The 23,230-nt window shown below is 44.8% G+C and overlaps 1 protein-coding gene and 1 non-coding gene across 20 annotated transcripts in view, besides 1 other annotated feature; one reads left to right on the forward strand and one right to left on the reverse strand.

The window, feature by feature from the left end:
- The window catches only part of SNX29 (sorting nexin 29), a 597,554-nt gene that overhangs the window by 306,454 nt on the left and 267,870 nt on the right, over window positions 1–23,230 (forward strand). The window lies entirely within an intron of this gene.
- Window positions 1,109–1,238: an enhancer, noted in NCBI's record as "active region_10466". NCBI's record gives its function as "activates an Ori minimal core promoter by ATAC-STARR-seq in GM12878 lymphoblastoid cells {active_cell/tissue: GM12878}" and the evidence as "EXISTENCE:reporter gene assay evidence [ECO:0000049][PMID:35858748]".
- On the reverse strand, window positions 14,010–14,136 carry LOC124900383 (small nucleolar RNA ACA64). Its single transcript, XR_007065251.1, has one exon. It is a non-coding gene; the product is annotated as a small nucleolar RNA ACA64 (small nucleolar RNA).

Raw genomic sequence — 23,230 nt, forward strand, 5'->3', positions numbered from 1 at the left:
CCCTTTGTGGCTTTTCTTACCCTGGGAGCAGCAGTGTTGATGGTTGTAGGAGATGAGCCAAGGAAGTTGTGAGGTTGAAACAGAGACATCCCTGAAATGGCATTGACTACCCTAGATGGAGTTGTTTTTTTTTTTTTTCTTTTTCTTTTTTGAGACAGAGCCTCACTCTGTCACCAGGCTGGAGTGTAGTGGCGTGATCTTGGCTCACTGCAAGCTCCACCTCCTGGGTTCAAGCGCTTCTTCTGTCTCAGGCTCCTGAGTAGCTGGGACTACAGGCACGCATCACCATGCCCAGCTAATTTTTGTATTTTTAGTAGAGATGGGGATTTCACCATGTTGGTCAGGATGGTCTTGATCTCTTGACTTCGTGATCCACCCACCTCAGCCTCCCAAAGTGCTGGGATTACAGGCATGAGCCACTTGCAGAGCGACTTCTGTTGCAAAGTCATTGGTGTTTCATCTGTGAGTTGCATTAGCTCTTCCTCATGCCAAGAGTGGTCCTAAGTTACAAAAATGAATGGGACGCAGTGCCTGTGTTTAGGGAGCTTGCATTCTTGTGGGTGAGGCAGACGTGCCTGTTCTAATTGTCAGGACAGATAATTGAAGTGCAGAGGTAGGGTTATACCCACAGGCCTGGAGCTGTGTCTTTGACGGCAGTTCTGCAGAGGTTGGCACCTAACCACAGCTTCTTTAGATAATTCCTCCCCACTTCTTAGGGACTGTTAGTGGTGATGCTCAGAATTTCTTCTGTAAACTTCCCCATGCTTCTTGAAATTCTAAGACACCAGAACAGAAACAACCAAGGTTTTGAAGATAAGATATTGGACACATCCAAGATTGATCTCTTCTGAGACTCTTGCTTCTTTACCTCTTTTAAGTACATTTCCTTTGGTTTGGACTCATCTTCAGAGATGTTCTATTCTTTTTCAGCAGTTGTCTTCACAACAATGTGAAGTGTTGGCGACATTCGGACTTTGGGCCTGCATCACTTTGTCGCTGCCTTCTGCAGCCTGGTGACTTGGAAAGCACATGTATCGCGTGTCAGACTGAGTTCAGATTTGCCACTTACTGCCGTATGTTCCTGGGCACGCCCCCTAACCTCTCTAAGCCTCAAGTTCTCTGTTAGTGAAATGCAGCCAGTCATACCTGTGAGTGGGTTTGTTTTGGGAATGACACATAAGAACCCAGCTGAGTGCCTGCAGTAGACAGGAGGTGTCTCTGTGCTTCCTCTTCTCCCCTCCATCCTGACTTTCTTTGGAGGGCTTCCCTCTCCACCATAGCGTGCTGTCTGGGTGGGACAGTATGTCCAAATGCTTTGCCCTGGTTTTGGTTCAGGGCTGGGTACATGACCTGAGCTAGGCCCATGGGGGCTTTAACTCTGGAGTTGTATAAGAATGCAGCAATGCTTGGGAGGCCGTTTATTCAATAGCAATTAACAGTAAGCATTTATTCAATAGACTAATAGCAATGAGTCTGATAAGACTCTAATTGTTTTCTGTGTTGAACTTGCCAGAACTGCTTTGGTTTCGGTTCCTTTTTTTTTTTTCTTTTTTTTGAGACAGAGTCTCATTCTGTCACCCAGGCTGGAGGGCAATGGCACAATCTCAGCTCACTGCAACCTCTGCCTCCCAGGTTCAAGCAATTCTCCTGCCTCAGCCTCCCGAGTAGCTGAGATTACAGATGCGTGCCACCACACCCAGCTAATTTTTTATATTTTTAACAGAGATGGGGTTTCGCCGTGTTGGCCAGGCTGGTCTCGAACTCCTGACCTCAGGTGATCCACCCACCTTGGCCTCCCAAAGTGATGGGACGGATTATAGGCATGAGCCACTGTGCCTGGCCTCAGTTACTTTTCTGAGCCTGATTTCCCCACTTTTCTGCCTGTTTATAGTGAATTCTATTTTAGCTTAGGTTAGAATCTGTTTATTTTGCTTACCAGCGGTGCTCTCACTTAGGTAAAGCTTTGTATCCGTATGTAATCAGTAGATGCCGTTTCCCTTCAGTTCTCCTTCCACTCACTGTTTAGCAGGGCTTAGCTCCCTCATGTTGTCTTCGGGCTCTCCCAGCTCTTGCTTGCCGGCACCGTTTTCTAGCTGTTTGCCCCACTTGTGTATCTTCTGCTTCAATATTGCCAGTCCATCCTCTGCAAACAGAACTTTACTCCCTTCCATATGGCAGGGCTCAGCTAGCTGATGATTGATTTTTAAAATTATAAGACACTTATCGTTTACTGTCTGAGTGTGGTTAGTCCCTGAATTTTTCTTGTGGGTAAAATAAATGGTGTATTAGCAACATTTGTTCTCATTATAATGGCAGAGTCGCTATTAATGGAAAAGTAAGCTTGAACATCAAGCTGGTAAAAAATACACTCATAATCACACGCTGTAGATAACTGTGAATGTGATCATCATTTTAATAAAGTGTAAAAATTCCGGAAGCAGCCAGGACCTTGGGAGCAGTTACACCACCAGTGCCTGCCTCATAAATTGGCACCAATGGGTTCCAACACTTCTCATGCGTGTCCAGGAGTCATTTTTGTATAAGAGCAGCATGGGCTTTTCAATAAAATACTGGATTTTTTATAAGGACTCAGGATAAAAAACTCTGAGCTGAGATCTACATTAAACTGATACTCAAAATGAAAGGTATGATGTTAGGTTTATTTATTTATTTATTTTTTATTTTTCTGATGGAGTTTCACTCTGTTGCCCAGGCTGGAGTGCAGTGGTACGATCTCAGCTCACTACAACCTCCGCCTCCTGGGTTCAAGTGATTCTCCTGCTTCCCCCTCCACAGTAGCATACGCTACCATGCTCAGCTAATTTTTGTATTTTTAGTAGAGACAGGGTTTCACCGTATTGGCCAGGCTAGTCTCAAACTCCTGACCTCAAGTGATCCTCCCACCTCGGCCTCCCAAAGTGCTGGGATTACAGGTGTGAGCCACTATGCCTGTCCTGTTTGTTTTTTTTTTTAATCACATGAAGCTGAGTGGATTGAGACCAGGCTCTTACCTCATATAGTTTGATTACCAAGCAAAATGGAGTGTTTAAGTGTCTCCTATATATCAGTGAAAAAGGGTAAGAAGTTATAGTTTCTAGCAGGATAGGTGTAATTCCCACTGAAGTGTGAATGACTAACAGGGCTAAACCTCCAAGGATTTTTTTTTTTTTTTTTTTGAGATGGAGCTTTGCTGTATTGCCCAGGCTGGAGTGCAGTGGTGTGATCTCGGTTCACTGCAAGCTCTGCCTCCCGGGTTCATGCCATTCTTCTGCCTCAGCCTCCCAAGTAGCTGGGACTACAGGCCCCACCACCATGTGAGGTTAATTTTTTTGTATTTTTAGTAGAGATGGGGTTTCACCGTGTAAGCCAGGATGGTCTCGATCTCCTCACCTCATGATCCACCCGCCTTGGCCTCCCAAAGTGCTGGGATTACAGGTGTGAGCCACTGTACCCGGCCCCAAGGTGTCCTTAAAATTTTTTTATTATGTAAAAGTTGAAACATATACAGAAATAAAAGTGTAATGAGCCTCTATGTACCCATCACCTGGCTGTAGCTGTTAGTACCTCTTGGCCAGTCTTGCTTCATCTGTATCCCGTCCCACCCATCAAACCTCAGCCTCTCATGGTATTTTGAAGAAAATCCCAGGTTCCATATTATTACATTCCTGAGTATTTCAGAATCTATCTTTAAAAGATAAGAGGTCTTTTAAAAACCCCACATTACTGCAATACCATAGTCATACTTTAAAAAGCCTGTTAAAAGAGGCTCGTGCTAGTCCCATTGATTCTTGGGTTGGAGTATCAGGGAGAGGAGCTTCTTTAAGAACGTCTTTTAGGGGGCCCCTGGCTCACTCTTTCTCCTTCCCAGCTTCCCGAACAAGGAACTGGAGCATCTCATTTATGCAAGATGGCTAAGCTCGGAGCTTTTCTGTCTTTTGGATGTGCCCTTTGCTTGGCTCTCTGCCTTGACTTCAGTTAACAACACACATAGTCATGTCAGCAGCACACTACACAGGCCCTGGGAAAGTGAGGGATTTGGAGATGAGGAGGTGTGACCACAGCCTGCAGGCTCCACCAGCGTATGGGTTTCCAGCCTCCAGCATGGTCTCCTTTACAAACAGACTCCTTCCCTAAGGAAGGTCTCTGAAGGAAGAGGAGGCAGGCTGTATCTCACAGGTGTCTCTCTGTTTTTTTTAAATTTTTTTTTTAACTGGTAAAAAGTAGGCAAAAGAGCATAAAGAACTTCCATATACTCATCACCCTACTTCAATAGTTATCAACTCTTGTCCAGTCTTGTTTCATCCACTTACCCTCCTGTTTCCCCAGCATCAAGTAGTGTTTGGAAGGAAATCCAAAGCACAACGTTGATTTCACCCATAAGTAGTTAGGAATATATTGGTAGTAAACTACAAGGACTGTCTTTTTAAAACAGAAAAAACTCTGTAGTATCATTATCACACCCTAAAGTTAGCAGTAATTCCTTAGTATTGTCAAATATCTGGTGAGTGTTCAAATTTGTAGTTTAAACAGGTGTTTGAATCAGGATCCCAGTAAGGTCCCCACCTCGTGATTGGTGATGGATCTCTTCAGTGTCTTTTAATCCATATGTTCTGTCACCTGTGTCTCCCTGCCTCTCCCTTTCTTCCTTACGTGTCATTTATTAGTTGAAGAACCTGGGTTGTTGATCCTAGAGAATTTCTCCTACCAGTGTTTTTTGAGGGTGTATTACATGTGTGGTACTTGGTGACCTGTTAGGTTTTTCATGGCATTTTATGAAAAGCAGCTATAGATATTGATGTCACAGCCTGGGCAATGTAGTGAGACCCTGTAATTACAAAAAAAAATTTTTTTAACTAGCTGGGTACATCAGCATGCCTGTGGTCCCAGCCACTCAGGAAGTTGAGGTGGGAAGATTGCTTGAGTCCAGAAGGTCAAGGCTGCAGTGAGCTATTGAAGTAGGAGGTGGGACTTGACTCCAGAGGCGGGACTCAGACACTGGACCAAACTGACTACTAGCTAAAACAGGACTGGGTGGAAGCAGCTTTCCATCAGACATGCCCGTGGGTGCCATGTCAGTTTACCATTATCATGGCAACATCCAGGAGTTACGGCCCCTTTCCATGGCAATGACCCAATGACTCAAAAGTTAATACTTCCTCTCTAGAAATTTCTGCATAAACGACCCCTTAATCTACACATAAGTAAAAGTACCTACAAATGTGACTGCAAAACTGCCCTGAGCTGCCACCCTCTGTTTGCGGGGTCACCCTGCTCTGCAGCAGCAGTCCCGGAGCTGTAACTCCACTGGAGCTGTGACACCGCCACTTCAATAAAGCTGTTTTCTTCTACCTCCAGCTTGCCCTTGAATTCTTTCCTGGACAAAGCCAAGAACCCTTGCAGGCTAAGCCCTTCTTTGGGGGCTTATCTGTCCTGCATCACTATGATGGCACCACTGCTTTCCAGCCTAGGTGACAGAGCGAGACATCTGGGGAAAAAAAAAAAAAAAAAAAAGATAATGAAGGTAATAGCAGTTAGTGCAAATTGAGGGGCTATTCTATTTTTAGGCACTGTGTTAATTGCATTACATGGACTGTTTGATTCATTGTTCTCTGCATACCTACAGATGATGAAGCCGAGGCTTGGAAGGGTTAAGTCACCTGCCCGAGGTCATGGGGCTAGCATAGGTAGAAGCAAGATTTGACCCCCTGACTGACCCCAGAGTTGGTACTCTTCCCATCGCCCTCTGTGGCCTTCTCTGTATCTGACTAGAAACAGGAATCAGGCCTGCCTTGCCTACTAGCTCTAACTTTTAGTTCTAAGTGGAGCCAGGAAAATGAATGCAGTGACAAACATGCTGGCTATTAGCTTGTCAAGAACTAGAACGATGGAAGAGATAAGGAGGGAGGATGGAAACAGATTCTAGCTGGCGACACGGTTTCTGATGTGAGCACTTACTGGGTAAACAGCCGTGTGTGCTGCCTTGGATGGCAGGCCCCTTCTGATGCCTCTTGTGCTCACTGGATGTTCCCATCTGTTCCTGTGTGCTGGGGTTATCCGCCCATGCAGCAGGAGGAGAAGGGTCCACTACTGGCACTGTCTTCTTCTCAAGGGCTCTTCCTTCTTCCCTCCTCTCCCTTGGCCTCTCAGTTACTGTTTGCATTTGCCTGGGGCATGTTCAGGTGCAGGTCACAATTGTGCCTCTGTGCAGGCATGCTTGCGCCCCTAGCCTTCTAGTGTTTATCCTTGCTGATCTTTTGATTTCTCTCACAGAACCTTGGATACCTCGTTTCCCATTTCCTGGTGAGGTCACCACCCTCTCCGGTGGTGGCGCTGGGCCCTGATCTTTGCTGTTTCTCCACCCCATGTGTTCTGTTTCGCTTCCATTTCTGCTGAAGCCTCATTTCCAGTTGTGCCTCTGATCTGGAAGTCTGGAGTACTTGCGAACGAACAGATGAACTTCCTTAGAGAAACACTTGGAAAATGATCCAATACTCCTTTTTGGGCGATAGATAAAAATACTTGTAATTATAGTGGCTGGTTTTCAGCTTTTCAGACCCACACTATTTTGGGCCTGTTTTATATTTGCCTTCCTCTTTGAGGCGGGAAGTGGCTTCAAGAAGCCACTTCTGGGTCCCCAGAAGGAGTCGTGTGGCCTTGATGGACGCGAGTGAAAGAGATGTAGTCCTGTCAAGGTTGGGCTCAGAGTTCAGTATACACCCGGCGAAGGGGCAGGGCTGTCCTGAATGCTGCATGAGCTCAGCCTGCAGGCAACATAAAGGGCTCGTCACTGGCAGTGTGGAGCTGGAGAAACGGGATACAGCGGGAGTGGAGAACGCTGAGACAGGGCGGAGGGAGGGACTTGTTGCATTTAATGCATGTAGACGGGCAATGACAAACTACTCTGGGCCCAGTCTACTTGGGCCATTTCTTTTTCTGCTTAAAACTTACCAGTGGCTCACTTTAGCATTTAGGTTCCTGTAAAAGTAACATGTTCACATGTTAAAGTAAGCCTTTTTGCTATACTCTTGCCTTCCTCTTCAGTCATGCTTCTTACCTTGCTCTGAGCATGTTTTCCTTTCTCAAATGCACGTGTTCTCACTGCAGACCTTCACACAGGCAGGTGTAAGGTCCCACCTGGAACCCTGTTCTTTTTTTATGAACCCTTTCCTGTCCGTTTTCGCTGGCTGACTTCTGATCTTTCAGATCTCATCCTGGAAGCCTTCTCAAATCACCCCACTGCACTCTTGAAGACTGATTCAGTTTGCCCCAGGTGTCCTGCACGTCCTTTGTGTCACCTCTCCTAATCCTCCTAGTACGGTGTCGTGAATGTGTCCCATTTACCTGTGTTCATCCTTCATGACCTCTGGTACCTGGTTGATGCTTGTATGATTTAATAATTTTTTTGGTTGCAGAATAAAAAAACTTGGCTCAAGCTGTCTGTGACAAAGACTGTGTGATTTATCAAGGTCTGTCTCATTTTTCTTTTTGTAGACACATAGGACAGATGCATTTCCTAGTCTCCTTTATGGGTAGCTTGGGACTGTGTGACTAGTTTTGGCCAGTGGGTTGAAAGTAGAGGTAATGAGTGTTATGCTAGACTGAGGCATAGGAGAGTGGGGATGAGTTTTCTTGGTTCTTGCTCCCCTGCCATGGTGATTCTGGAAGCTTTGTGTTCCATGATGCATAGCTAGAAAATGATACTGACCTGGATCCCTGAGTCACTGCTTGGAGGAGAGTTTCTCTGTTGTGTTGCTGGATCCACTATAGACTTTTTAAGAGCAAGAATTGAATGGTATCTATTCAGCTTGTTATTTACCACTGAGTCGAGCCTGTCGTGGTAATCTCGAGGAAGGTAATCCTTTGGCCTCAGGAAAAGTCTGGCTTTAGCTGTGGCAAATGCTTGATACTTGAGCTGTGTTACGAGGCTCCTGTTTCTCTCTCTTTAGTGCTTTCCTCTTCCCTTTCTGGGTTGACATCATTTTTGGTAGCTGTTATTAGTCCATTGTCACGGTGCTGATAAAGACATGCCCAAGACCGGGAAGAAAAAGAGGCTTAATGGACTCACAGTTCCACATGGCTGGGGAGACCTCACAATCATGGCAGAAGGCAAGGAGGAGCAAGTCATGTCTAACATGGATGGTGGCAGCAAAGAGAAAGAGCTTGTGCAGCCCCTTATACAACTGTCAGATCTCGTGAGACTTGCTCACTGTCACGAGAACAGCACGGGAAAGACCCGCCCCCATCATTCAGTTACCTCCCACTGGGTCTCTCCCACGACACGTGGGAATTGTGGGAGCTACAATTCAAGGTGAGATTTGGGTGGGGACAAAGGCAAACCATATCAGTAGGTTTTCCTCCTCAGGGTCACAGATGGCTGTGATCACCCCTGGGCACATAGTTTTTCTTCCAGGTTCACATTCATAGGAAACAGCAAGAGTCTCTCCATTCTTGTCAAAAACCTTATGTTTACTCTGTAGAGTTAACTTAGGTTCCATTCTCTCTTTTCAGCTGATCACAGGATCTGGCTTGTGCTAAGACAGGGAAGAGCTCCATTGAGACATGGAGAAGGGAGATTGGGGAGAGGGATGGATCCCCAGATGAAAACTGGGACTGTTGCTAGGGGAAGCGGATGCCATGGTGGCAGAAAACCAAGGTTCACTTCAGTGCTCAGTGCATGAATGAATGGATGAGTGAGTGAAGAGTGAGTGAGAGCCAGATCAGTGGATATATTGAAGAATCAGCCCTCTCCCTTGCCTTCGGGTGCTCACAGCCTACTAGTAGAGTTAGCGTCATAAAACAGTAATTTTTAGCAGCAAGCAATCAGTGAATCAAAAGAAGAGGGAAATTGGCGCTGTCAGATCTGCTGGTGGAGGGGTTGTGGTTTGGGGTGTATTAGACAAGATAGTGCAGAAATGTTCATTTCGAAGCTGGGCTTTGCAGGTAGAATAGGACCTTGCCAGTGAGACAGGGTGGGGAAGGGCAGTCCAGATGGCAGGAACAGCAGGTGCGAAGGTTTGGCCACCTGGGCGTGTCAGGTGGCAACTGACTGATAGACCGTAGAGTGAGACAGAGGCAAGACGCCTCCATAGTTCCTTTTTTAGCACTGTTTGTCATTCCTACTAGAGAGAGTCTTTTAGGTTTCAGATGCTACAATTAATGTTTCTTTTTCTGAAAGTGGTAGGATTGGAAAGTTCTCCCTTTTCCTCGTTTTTTCTGTGTCTTGATTCTCCCTAACACAGGTGCATGTGGAGAGCTGCACCTTCCTCCCGTGGCCGCTCTTGGCCTTTGGATAGGAATTTCCTCTTAAGTCCCCAGCCAGTCATTTCAGACCCATTGAGGAAGATAGAGTTTTGTCAGGTCAGTGGTGCTGAGAGGCTTCTGTTTCTTAAAGGTGCTCTTCTAGTTGATTGTAAGGGGCACTGCCAGAAGACTTTCAGCTTGAATGGCTTGTAGCAGTTTGGCTTGGAAGACATCTTGTAAAAAGCGTTGACTCCAGGTGCCCCGCCATTTTAGAAACATCCCCCGATATGTAATAGTGAGACTTAGGACTTTGCTTCTAATAGTGTGATATTCTTGTTTGTTTAATTTGAAGGATCTAAAACCTTCTGTTGCCTCCCTGTTCTCTTCCTCTGTGAGGCTGATACAAGGCACAGTGGCTCTAGTGTTAGTTAAGCTTGTAAGGATCAGAGATTTTACTAACCTTGTTTAAGTTCTTACAGAAGAATTTTTGCTAACGTCCAGCTGAGGAACTTTCTTATGTAGAATAAATCAAAATTTTCACCAGAGTAGTTCACTCTTATTAATGAATGAATAATGAATAGACAAATTATTTAAATCTAAATTAATATAATTGACACCATTTAATAAGCATGTACTATGTGTCAAACATTGCAGGGGCATCATATACATCTTTTTATTACTATACATATATTTTCAAAGAGATGCGGTCTTGCTATGTTGGCCAGGCCAGTCTTGAACTCCTGGCCTCAAGTGATCCTCCCACCTTGGCCTCCGAAAGTGCTGGGGTTATAGGTGTGAGTCACCACGCCTGACCCCATCATATGCATCGTGTCATTTAATCTTCACGACAACCTTGCAAGGTAGGCGGTGGTGGATGCTGAGGCTCAGAAAGGTTGAGTAGAATATCCCGAGTTGCATAGTCAGCAAGTGGCAGAGCTGACGTCTGGACCCAGTTCTGATAACAGCAGTGACTGTGATCCTGCTTTCCTGCTGTTCAGACAGTGTGTTTGTTTCCGAAGATTAGCCAGCCTGCGGTAGAGGTTAAGCTCATCGTTTCTGTTTCCTGACACATTTTATGACTGTCTTCTGGTGGAAGACGTTTCTAAAGCCTGAAAGAGACTTGAAATTGGACTTGGAATGACTTTGAGGTTTTGTAGCTTCTCCTGATTGATTACAGTGCAAATTAACTAAATGAATTATTTAGCTCAACTAATAGCGTGCTTTCATCCAATAGCTTGGTAGAAAGAACATATTGAACATTTTTTACTTAATCCACTTTGGGGGAATATTTGAACAGATTAAAAAAATAAAGTACAAAGGATCTTTTTTATCAATTAATTTTGAGCCATTCTGTTCTTTTGGAAAGCTGCAGATATCTTTCTCAATGATTGTTAAAATCCTTATCAGGCTGGCAAGCTTGCATTCATTCAGTGCTTATACGGTGCCAGGCATATTCCTAAGCACTTTATTTATCTCATGTGATCCTTATAGCTACTCTGTGTGGCGGTATTACTCTCATCCTCGCTATACAGAGGAGGAAACTGAGGTGTGGTGTGCTTACTGATGGTCAGGGTCATGTAGGTGCTCAGATTCCAGACCTGAAGCTCACAGCCACTCTCCGGGGAGGAGAACTTTGAATCCAAACACCAGGAGATGACGGTCAGTCCCCACTGCTGGTCAGAATGTGAGAATCGAAATCCTAGCTCTAGGCGCATGCCTGGGCCCTGTCACCTGACCTCTGTGAGCCTCAGATGTCTGCGTCTATGGCCTGGGAATCATCATTTCCAATGTGTAGCATTTATAGATCAAGTAGGGAGTTGTATGCATGGCTCCTGTCACCCGTCATCTCTTGGGTGAGGTGCCTGCTGTGATGGGGAACCCTCTTGTCTCATTTGCCTGTTTTGGGGACAGACAGTGTCACTCTCAGTGGAACAGCCCTCAGCCCTGTCATGTACAGGGTCACTGGACATCTTCTCTCGTTCCTCCCTCCGATGGGCTGAGAATGGCCCGGCATGCTTACTCAGGGAGAATGAGTCTTCTTGGTTTCTAAAGACTCACCCTGTCTACTCCCAGGCCTGGGAAGTCCATAGGCACCCGCCTCCCTCTGCTGTCTGTCTGTAGCATTCTGGATGGCTGTGGGCTCATGCTGCCGCCATCATGGTTCCCTGTTAGCTGGTCCCGCCTCCCTGCCCTTTGCCTATGCTCAGCGGGGAGCACAGTTCCTCTCTGGGTAGGTTCAGGTCCTTTCAGTAACAGCTCAGACCTGCCTATGTCCCCAGGCTGGCTCCTTGCCTCCCTACTGGCTGTCTGTCACTTGGCTGAGAACTAGAGCTGCCCTGGACCTCTCTGGGCCTTTGTGTTCAGGCCTAACACAGCTGGAGCTCCCGGGAAGAGATGACTGTCCCTTCCTGTATTAGCCTGTTTTCACGCTGCTGATAAAGACATATCTGAGACTGGGTAATTTATTTAAAAAAAAAAGGCTTAATGGAGTCACAGTTTTACATGGCTGGGGAGGCCTCACAATCATGGCAGAAGGTGAAAGACACGTCTTACATGGCGTCAGGCAAAGAGAGAATGAGAACCAAGTGAAAGGGATTTCTCCCTATAAAACCAACACATCTCGTGAGACTTATTCTCTACCACAAGAACAGTATGGGGGAAACTGCCCCAGTGATTCAATTATCCCCCCACTGGTTCTTCCCACAACACATGGGAATTATGGGAGCTACAAGTCAAGATGAGATTTGGGCCGGGGCACACCTAAACCATATCCCTTCCCATGTCCTTGCTTCTCCACTTCTACTCGTCCCAGGGTTGACTTTCCTAGGATGACAGGCAGCGGGGTCACCGGTTCCCTTTAAGGATACGCACACCCCACCATGGGGCAGTGAAGCCAGCCTCCCAGGAGAAGTTGCCAGAATTCCTGAACATTCCTTCTCTTCCTACCAACCCAAGGACTTTTTCTTGCCAAGTCGCCCACCACTTTCTTAGTTTTGTTTTTGAGAAAACAACTCTCACAACTTCCTTTGTGGCTAATTTTTTCCCATCAGTATCCTGCTTTTTCTGCAGCTTCCGTTGACGAAGGTACATTTTACCTCTGGAACCGGTGGAGCAGAGAGCTGAATATACCCTGTTTCCTCGGGCTTCCTTGGAGTGACTCACAGGTTCCATTTTCAGTACCAAAAACTCAGCTTTGCCAGGGCAAGCTCTCAGCAACTCTTTTACAGTGACAAGTACTTTAGAAAAGTTTCAATTCACTTATTTCTCTGGGTCACACAGGCAACTCTCTGCCCTGCTTTGAGCAAAGACTATTTCTTTAGCAAAGGATATTGAAATTGGGTTCTTTTTTTTTTTCCTCACTCCCTTCAAGTAGATTTTTTTTTTAATCCATTTTTAAGGTAGAGAAGGGAGATGAGTCTTATAAAAACTTGAAAACTGTCTTTTGACAAAGACCAACTTCTGCGCCCAGCGCTTTCATCTCCAGGTGCCTGAGATTAACGTTTCCAAAAATGAGTCTTTTAAACAGTTCTTCTCCTCAAAATGAAATATGTTCTGTGGTAACAACCCAGTTCCTACTATGTAATATGTAGAAATCATTTTCCCTTTGTGAAGAAAACTAGATTTAAATGCTAACATATTATCTTTTTGTCTTCCTGAAAAATTTTTCTTCCTTCGGTGGTAAAAAGCTTTTAAAGTTAATGGAAAATTCTCCCCTTCCTGTGCTCTGGCTCGGGAGGAGAGGGAGATAACAGATCTCAGTTTCTCTGTAAATATCATAATGACTGCCTTCCTGGTGTTAGAGGTTTGAACTGCTGTGATGGCATGTATTTTAAAGCAAAGTGGTGGTCAATTTTGATGAAAAGTGATAAAATCGAGTGGATAAAATTGGCTTTCAGCAAGTAGAATGCTCTGCACCTGTAAGTTTGTGCCCATGGCCCTTATATATGGGGAGAAGAAAGAAATTTCCTACAATTTTTTTGACACATCAGAATTATAACAATTTGTTTTTGGTGTAGCACTTCACATGTCTTGATCATTACTAGGCCAGCAGACTTTTTTATATAAAGGGATCAATAGTAAAATCTTTCGGTGTTGTGGGCCATGTGATCCCCTGCCATTGGAGCACTGAAACAGCCCAAGACAATTTGTAAACATGGTTGTGTGTCAATAAAACTTTATTTACCAAAACAGGCAGGGGGCCTGCAGGTCACATTGTGCCAATCCCTAATGCAGGTACTTCTCCTACTTAGTGATGGTGGTGATGCTGACAGGGATGGTTATACCATTAGTATCAGCTGCTGTTTTGAGTGCCAGTCATGGGCCAGGCAATAGATACATTTACTGCTCATAAACACTTTAATGAAGGGTAAACGTGGTTATCGCCACTTAACAAAGGACTAAAGCGAGGCCCACCTAGGTCAGGTGACTTGCTCTATGCCAGGGTTCTCAACCCCAACACTATTGACATTTTGGACCACATAATCGTTTGTCATGGGGGCTTTCCTGTGTGTAGTAGGATGTTTCACGGCATGCCTGGCTGCTGCCCGCTAGATGCTGGTGGCACCCCCTTCCCCACAACTGTGATAATCACAAATGTCTCCAGACATGGCCACATGTCTCTGGGATCAAAATCCCTGCTGGTTGAGAACCACTCCTCTAGGATATACCACTTTTTTCCCCCCGCTGCAGAAAGAAGACAGGGTTAGGGGTCGGAGGCTGGAGACAAGGGCAGACCACACCAGCAGCTGCACTGGGGCGGAGGCCACGGCACCTGTTGGGGTCTGGGTTTCCCCACCACACACGGGGCAGTGTGCGGTGAGCTGAGGCCCTGGAGGCTCTGGGCCTTGAATCTCACCTGCTGCCATGGCCAAAGCCTGGGAGTGATTTTCAAGTAATGCCAGTAGGATGTACCACTTCTTAATGTCAAAATCTGGGCTGGAAAGATGGTCTTTATGATTTTGTTTTTTTGTTTATTGGTTTGTTTTGTGTTGTTCTACACAGAAATAATGACTGCCCCCAAGCCAAAGCTCTTTTCCTCGGTGTGTGTATTCACTTCTCTCCTCCTCCGCATCCCTGGCTTCCTTCCCTTCTCCTGGCCTCTCCTACTTGAAATTTGCTAAGAGAGATCTGAGGTGTCCTCAGCACCCCCTGTTGTGTTATAAAGATCACAGAGTTAAAAAATGATAACCGTGGGTGGTGATGGATGTGTTAATTTAATTGCATTCGTCATAACACAGTGTACACATACTTCAGATCATTTCTCTGTACATCTCCAATATATTCCATTTTTATTTGTCATTTGCACCTCAGTAAAGCTGGGGGAAATGTGAGCTGCGGAATATCGTTGATTGGCTTCCACGTCTGGCTCCACCTGTCTCACTGAACAACTGTCGAAACCTTCCCAGCTTTGCTGAACCTCACTTTTCCCCTCCAGGAAGTGGAACAATAATAGCACTTATGGGCCAGGCGCTGTGGCTCATACCTGTAATCCCAGCACTTTAGGAGGCCCAGGTGGGCAGATCACTTGAGGCCAAGAGTTCAAGAACAGCCTGGCCAACATGGCAAAAGCCTGTCTCTACTAAAAATACAAAAAATAGCTTGGCATGGTGGTGTGCGTCTGCGATCCCAGCTACTTGGGAGGCTGAGGCAGGAGAATTGCTTGAACCCAGGAATTGGAGGTTGCAGTGAGCTGTGATTGTGCCACTGCACTCCAGCCTGGGCAACAGAGCGAGACTCTGTTTCAGAAAGAAAAGAAATAATAATAGCACTTCAGTCATGGCATAATTGATGTGGAATGATCAATTCAATGCTCAGTGAATAACTGAGCAATGCAATTCATAATGCAATGAATAACTGGTATGATGATGATGACAGTGACAAAAATGATAACACAGATAATTTCCTTAGACTCCTCATCCCCTGGATGGTTTTCTGCAGGGCTGATGTTTATCACCTTCTTCAAGGTTTCATACTTTGCAGAATCTTGAACAAGCCTGTGCAGATTATACCTTTCTTTGCCATGAACAAGTCTATGATCATGAGAAAGTTATTAACCTCTCTGAGCCTCAGTTTTCTCATCTGTAAAATGGGAATGGTAATAGTTCCTACCTCCTAGTGTTACTGTGAAGAATAAGTTAACATGTGTCTAACATTTAGAAGAATGTCTGGCCCTTAAATATATATGCATGTTGTGTGTTTTTAGATTTTCCTGCCAATGAGAGACAGAAAATACTCTCTTACTTTCCTCTCTAGAATAGGCCAGGCATCCTCTGCTGCCTCCCATGGCTGGGAGGACCCTTGCTGTCTCTCACCGGCCAAGGAAGGTTAGATGTGGGTGTCCCCAGGGGCCCAGGGGTGACGATGTGGGTATAGTGACAACAGTTAGAGTTGCTTTCACATGTGGCGTGATTCCTATGTGCCTGATGGTATTACCAGTTGTTACCTACATTAACCTTATCATAATGGAATGAGGAAGCCAGAGGAACCAAGGCTTTGATTCTTTTATTTATCCATTTTCATAATAATGAGTTGGTTCCTTTCCCTCCTCCAGAGAGGACCAATGAGTCTTTAAAAAAAAAAAAAAAAAATAGGGCTGGGCACGGTGGCTCATGCCTGTAATCCCAGCCCTTTGGGAGGTCAAGGTAGGTGAATCACTTGAGGTCAGGAGTTCGAGACCCACCTGGCCAACATGGCGAGACCCTATCTCTACTAAAAATACAAAAATTAGTTGGGTATGGTGGCACATGCTTGTAATCTCAGCTACTGAGGAGGCTGAGGCAGGAGAATCGCTGGCACCCAGGAGACGGAGGTTGCAGTGAGCTGAGATCATGCTACTGTACTCCAGCCTGGGTGACACAGTGAGACTCCGTCTCAAAAAAAAAAAATTACAAATTTATGTATTTAAGCCTATTTGATGTTTTCCAGTTCATCACAGTAATTTTTCTTTGTGATATTCAAGTTGTCCTATCTTCAGCCCATGGACGGTGTTTAGTTTGATTCCTGAGTCCTCAAGAGTAGTTTTTGCCATTACACTGGACATCAAAGCAAGGAAGCTGAGGTGTTCTAGGCCCTTCTTGTACTTCATGCCCCAGACCTGGAAACACCTGTTCCTCCAGGGGGCCCTGGCTCTTTGACTGGGAAAAGGTATTTATACAGCATAATCTAGGTAGTGGGGAGTGCTCGTTGCTACTGGGTTGGCTATTGTTTCTAGGCCTTTTCAGTGTTCAGAGCTAGAAAATCTTTCCCTTTCTTCTTCCCCACCTGCCTCTTCCCTCCCTTTCCCCCACCCCATCCCTTCTTTTTTAGTAGACTATATATTATGATCCATAGATACTTCTAATTCAAATTTCGAATTTTTTTTTTTTTTTTTTTACTTAACTACCTTGATTTAATATTTGTATCTTTTTTCTTACACTAGAAATCTCTTAATGGCATAAATAAAATTTCTTTTTTTCTTTCTTTGAGATCGAGTCTTGCTCTGTCACGCAGGCTGGAGTGCAGTCGCGCAATCTTGGCTCACTGCAACCTCCACCTCCCTGGTTCAAGCGATTCTCCTGCCTCAGCCTCCTGAGTAGCTGGGACCACAGGTGCCTGCCACCACGCCTGGCTAATTTTTTGTATTTTTAGTAGAGACAGGGCTGCGCCATGTTGGCCAGGCTCGTCTTGAACTCCTGACTTCAGGTGATCTGCCTGCCTCGGCCTCCCAAAGTGCTGAGGTTACACGTGTGAGCCCCTGCAGCTGGCCGGGATAAATACAATTTCTTATGAGGTTTTGCTAATCTGGTAGCCAAGTAACGTAATCTCCATGTAGTTTTAATTTGCATTTCTCTAATATGAATGAAAAGAACCCTTTTTTGCCTCCTGTCTTCCACCACTTTCTCCAACCAAGGCAGAGTTGATCACATTTTCCTTCCTGTCCCCATAATGCCTTGGAGACAGCGCTCTGATAGCATCGATCATCAGTGATCAGCTTGGTGGTTTCTCCAAGCTGTATATTTTACTCTGTATATTTTACTGTCTTTTTATCTTCCATTGTTTGGCATTGTGTTTTGCCTTAGTGTTTATGAACGACTTAATAGTTCTGACAGTTTTTACTTAGATCTGTTAACCTCAGTCCCTTTTTAATTCCTATGTAACTGCTTTTCCCCAGCAGAGCAGCTAAAAAAAGAATGATGAGAGAGAATAGCAACACAAGAAAAACAAGCTGTTGAGAAAAACCAGATGCATACTTGTAACCCTGACTTCTCTTTGAGTTCCAGGCACACGTTGCTCCAGCGGCCGTCGTGACATCTCCGTGGATTGTCTAAAGTAGGGTTTCTCAAACTCAGCCTTGATGACATTTTGGACTGCGTAGCTGTTTGCTGTGGGAGGCTGTTCCGCATGTTGCAGGGTGTTTAGTGACATTGCCCCACTAGCCTTACCTACTAGATGCTGGTGACATCTCCCTATCCCAGTTGTGATCACCAAAAATGTCTCTCGACATTCCGTACTCTGCCCTTGGAAGCAAAAATACCCTCCTTTGAGGACCACTGGTTTAAAGGCATCTCACACTGAATAAGGCCAGTGCAGAACTCTGTTCTTCCTCCTGACTTGTGCGTCTGCGGTTTTCTCCATCTTCCTAAATGGCACCACTTTCCATTCAGCTAGCTAATCAAGTTAAACAGCCTGAGTCATCCTTGATTTCTCTCTTTCCCTCACTGTCTACATCTAGTCACTCAATGAGTTACAGTCCCTTCTAAAATATCTCATAAAGCCAACCATTGTTTTCTATCTGTGTTGCTACCACAAATCTAACTTGCCATTTTCTCTTGCCGGGAGTACTACCAGTAGACTCCTTCCTGTACTCTGCAAGCTGATTCCAAATCCGCCCACGCTCTGGCGTGTGCCCACATCTCCTGCCTTACCTGTCACCACACTCCTCGTTCTACTCTCCAGCCCCCTCAGCCTGCCCCTAGGAAGGGCCAGGGTTACTCCACCCTCCAGGGTCTTGTGTTTCCTATACTCCCTCTCCCCCAAATCTCCACATGGCTGGCTTCGTGTCCTCCCAGTCTCCATTCAGTGTCACCGCCTCAGTGAGGCCTTCCCTGGCAGTCCAGTCTGATCCAATGGTGCCTTCTGTCTGACTAATCCATTGTATTGCCCAGTTTTATTTTCCTGATTGAAATATCAGGATCCCCAGTCTTCTCGATTACGTCGTTGTTGGCTCTTTATGGTCCATCTCCCCTCTAGAATGTAACTTCCAGGAAGGCAGGGATCAAGCTTACCTTGCTTCCCTTTGAATCCTGGCTCGGAGGATGGACTCTGCATGAGATAGGCACTAAAAGACTGTGACATTAACATTCTGGTGTTTCTCTGAGAGGACTCTAGTCGCGGTTTGCCTTGCCCTATGGACAGAGAAAGAAAGATTTTAATCCTTCTCAGAGTCGAAGCTCTTTTACAGGCATCATCCCGAATACACTTGATAGTCACACTATCACTTTCCTCCTTACCTAACATTGCGGCTGCTGGTCCTCATCCCTTGTACCATGTTTAAAGAATATTGATCCTGAAGGTAAATTTCAGTTATATACAAAAGAAAGATAATTACTTAGAATCTGGTTCTGTCTCAATTCACAATGAAGGAAATGAACCAGTGCCTACGGTCCTTTCTTTATCAGAATCTAGAATGTGTGTGTGACCCAGTGATCTAAGACAGAGATGGGAAAACCTCTTTTGTAAAGGGCCAGAGGGTGGATGTGTTGGTGGGATGGACGTCGTAACTATTCACCTCCGTCAAAGCGGCATGGAAACAGATGAATATAAGCAAATGGCTGTGGCCACGTTCCGTCAAACTTTATGAAACTGATTTCCAAAAAGTAAAAGTCAGTTTCTACAGTTACAGCAGGCACACTTCTATGTTTTTTGCACTGACGCTGTAATTTTCTGTTTATCATTATTGATTGTGTTATCTACTGTCTTAGTGTGTTCAGGCTATTTTAACAAAATACCATAAACTGAGAAACTTATAAACAACAAAAATGTATTTCTCACAGTTCTGAAGGCCAAGGTCAAGGCAGATGTGGGGTCTGGTGAGGGCCCACTTTGTGGTTCATAGAGGGCATGTTCTTGCCATGTTCTCACATCGTGGAAGGACAGGGGGTCTCTGGGGCCTTTTTTATAAGGGCATAAATCCCATTCGTGAGGGCTCTGCCCTCATGACCTAAGCGCCTCCCAAAGGCCCTGCTCTTCTAATACATTACCTTGGGGGTTAGAATTTCATTGCGCTTTTGAGGGAACACAAACATTCAGACCATAGTTTCTCCTGTTCTTTCACTTTGGAAACTTCCTGCTAGGTAATACCTTTTATAAAACGCCATGGAGTGACTTGGGGCCACACTGTTAGGGTGAATGCATTTTAAAAGACATCTCATCAGTGCACATTTTCTAAAAGCACTTCTAGTTTAAGAGGATCAATCTTGGCTCTTGAGGAGCTTCTGGGCTCGTGTTAGTGAGGATAAGCCCAAGCTTGTCACCGTTCAAAAGTTTTAAAGATAATTTTCAAGAAATGATGTTTATAAACACCTGCCCAAAGGTCATGTGATCTGGCTATGTGAGACCCTTTTGTTCTTGAAGTAAGCTAGATAAAAGGCAGAAACAAATGCAGCCCAAACCATTTTACTGCTCAGAGAATCTTCTTTTGCAATTTACCGTGAAGCTGTCTGTCTGTTGCAGGCTGTAGACTGGCAGTCGATAGAGGTATGGAGTTGGTCCACATAGTTGCTTTTGTTTTTTTTAAAAAATAATTAGTTTGACCAATATTAAAACATAGATGAATTTTAGCCCCACCCTAGTGAAACACTTGCCCACGAACACCAGGAGAAACACAGCCATGTTCACAGCATCGCTCACGATGGCAAAACATTCCACACAACTTAGATATCCATCGATAAGAGAGTCGATTTTTAAAAAGTGTGTTACAGCATAGAAATCAACACAGCAAGGAAAATGGATGAACCTCAGCTGTGCACATCAGTTTGGATGGATCTAATGAAAATTGTGTGGCTCGAAGAAAGCGAGTTACAGCCAAACACATTCGTAAGAATATGAGAAAAGTGTAGAATGGAACAGGAGGTAGGTTAAGAATTCACACTTGTGGGAAGCTATACGGAAAGGCAAGGGCATGGTAACCATAAAAATTAGGGTTGTGATCATGGGAGAGGGCCAGCATTGGAGAGAGGTTCTCAAAAGTTCCAGAGGTTCTGTACCTTAAGGTGGTACACAGGTATATGTCTTGTTATGGTTCCTCATTTCCTATATGTAGATATGCATTAGTTATTCTCTTGCATGCTTGAAGTGTTTTGTAATTTAAAAAATTAGATGTTCTGGAAGCATTGGGCTGATGATTTCCACATAGCAGCGGTTCACTGGGCGGAGTCACAGCTGAGTCCTTGAGAATGACGTGCACCTTCTGGTTTATCACAGTACTTAGCTGTACTCTCCCTCCTATTCCCCCAGCTGAGCCTGTCTTGCCCATTTTCAGTGGCGTTTGAGGTTTGGATGTCTGGCCCTGGGATGTTAGGGGATACAGCCTGTTGAAAATGGTCATAGTGTTTTCTGTTAACACATTGGTAAGGCAGTTGTTGCCTATGCATATCGTGTGTAATAAGAATGATTTCTACCTGAGAGAAATTTTTCCCAGGCCTAAGTAGCAGGAATGAGTCCCTTGACCAAGTGGTCAGATCTTTTGGAGGCTGTGAATCCTATCACTGTTTTTTGTTTTTTTTTTTTGCCTTGACTTCTAAGAAGCTTGACAGAAATGTGAGCTCATCTTTAGCAAAAGTGGAGACCTTGTGGCATGTGGTTTTTGGTTCGGAACTTACTGTTGGCTTTTTTGTTGTTGTTGCACTCCCAGGCTGGAGCGCAATGGCGAGATCTTGGCTCACTGCAGCCTCTGCCTCCCAGGTTCAAGCGATTCTCCTGCCTTAGCCTCCTGAGTAGTTGGGACTACAGGTGCACGCCACCATGTCTGCTGTTCAGATTTAAAACAGACATTTAATTCATTTTGCAGTTTGTTGAAATAGAATCTTTGGCTGGAGAATTAGCATATTACAGAGGCTTTGAAATCTTTGTCCTTTTCTGGCCAGGGCTGAGCATGTAAATGTCTTTGAATAGAGATGGGGTTTCACCATGTTGGCCAGGCTGGTCTTGAACGCCTGACCTCAAGTGATCCACCTGCCTTGGCCTCCCAAAGTGTTGGGATTACAGGTGTGAGCCACCACACCTGGCCAGCTTCACTTATTTTCTTGCTTCTCCTCCTATTTTATTTCCTCACTTAAGAATATTACTCCATAATTCACTTGTTTATATAAGTGGCCATATTTTTTTAAAAAGAGAGGATATGAACTATAAACTCTCATTTACCTAGCATGATGGCAGAATATGATTTTACGAGAACATTCTGGAAAGCTGAGCTTTATTCAGAATGTTTTATTCACAAAGCTGCCTTGATCATCTATTTCAGCTGTGCATGTTACTAATTTTCCAAGAATGAGAATATAATTAAAATACACTTAATGCTAAAATGCAACTGAACATAATTTGATCTTCGATAATTTAGAAGGCAGTTAAAGAGCGTGCTGTGCCTCAAGGCTGTAATTAGGAACATCAATTATCATAGTGTGACACTATAAAAATCTGGTTATTTCGGCTTTCTAATGATTTGAAATCTGTGGGAACTAGAATTTCGAGTCTGTGCATGCAGTCTGTGTATATATAGGTCTTTTGAGCCCCTCATATGAGCAGTTCATACATGTTTTCATAGCTGATGAGTGTGAGAAAGGAGAGGCCACCTGACAAGTCTTGGCAGAGGTGTGACGAGGTTAGACTCAGGTGTTGCGAAGATCCCCCCCGGCCACGGAGTGGTATCAGGACTGGAGCAGGGCAAGGCTAAGGCAGTAATCCCTGCCCAAGGTGACAGGGACCAAAGGGCACAGCGCCGAGGGCGTCAAGCCCTAGGCATTTTAGCTGCCAGTGACTGTGACACTGGCAGGTCCCTTCACTTCTCTGGGCACACTTGACCATCTTCAGAAGGAGCAGGAGTGTGGAGCCATAGGCCAGAGGAAAAATCAGTGGTCCTGAGCCTGTCCTCATGCCTGATTTAAAATTTTGCTATTTTGTTCTCCATAGATTTATTTTTTTGGCATTAATTTTGATATTTCAAAACATTGCATGGAAATATTATTTATCATGATTACTGAGCTTTTTGCCACCTCCTTAAATTTTGCACCTAGATGCCTGGGTGTTGTGTATCCAGACTCCGAAAACTTCTGAATGGTGCCATTCCTAATTACAATTTTTAATTATAATTCTCTGGGCTTTGAATACAGAAAGACTGTGTTTCCACTTAGAATTTGGTCAAAGCCCTTGTCCTTTTCTGTACATCAGGGTGGAGTACCGACGAGCTGTAACCTGTTCGGATTTAAAAGGCTCTGTAATATGCCAATTCTCCAGCCAAAGATTCTATTTCAACAAACTGCAAAATGAATTGAATGTCTGTTTAATTCATTTTAAATAGTCCTCGTTTTATACTGGAGGACACGGTTCTCTCTGTGGCCTTAACAACCTGACTCACCATCTGTCTCACACCCTCCCTCAGCCAGGCACCTGCATGTAAAACCATTCATCCTCATGATCATATGAGGGGCCCTCTCCTCTGAACCTCCATTTCCCTCTTCTTAAACAGTTTGTGAACAGACTATTTTATTTTAGCAATGGATTTCAGAATAGTGCTCTGTCAACTGGAATGGCTTTGATATAGAAAGAGTTGCATCGAAATTCTGTGTACTCTTAACCACTGTGGGTCTACATTTTCTCCTCACTCACACGGCATGGTGATGCCAACTGCATATGGTCATGAGGATGAATGGTTTTACATGCAGGTGCCTGGCCGAGGGAGGGTATGGGATAGACGGTGAGTCAGGTTGTTAAGGCCACAGAGAGAACAATGTCCTCC

The sequence above is a fragment of the Homo sapiens genome, chromosome 16 (assembly GCF_000001405.40).
Source record: "Homo sapiens chromosome 16, GRCh38.p14 Primary Assembly".
NCBI classification, from domain to species: Eukaryota; Metazoa; Chordata; class Mammalia; order Primates; family Hominidae; genus Homo; species Homo sapiens.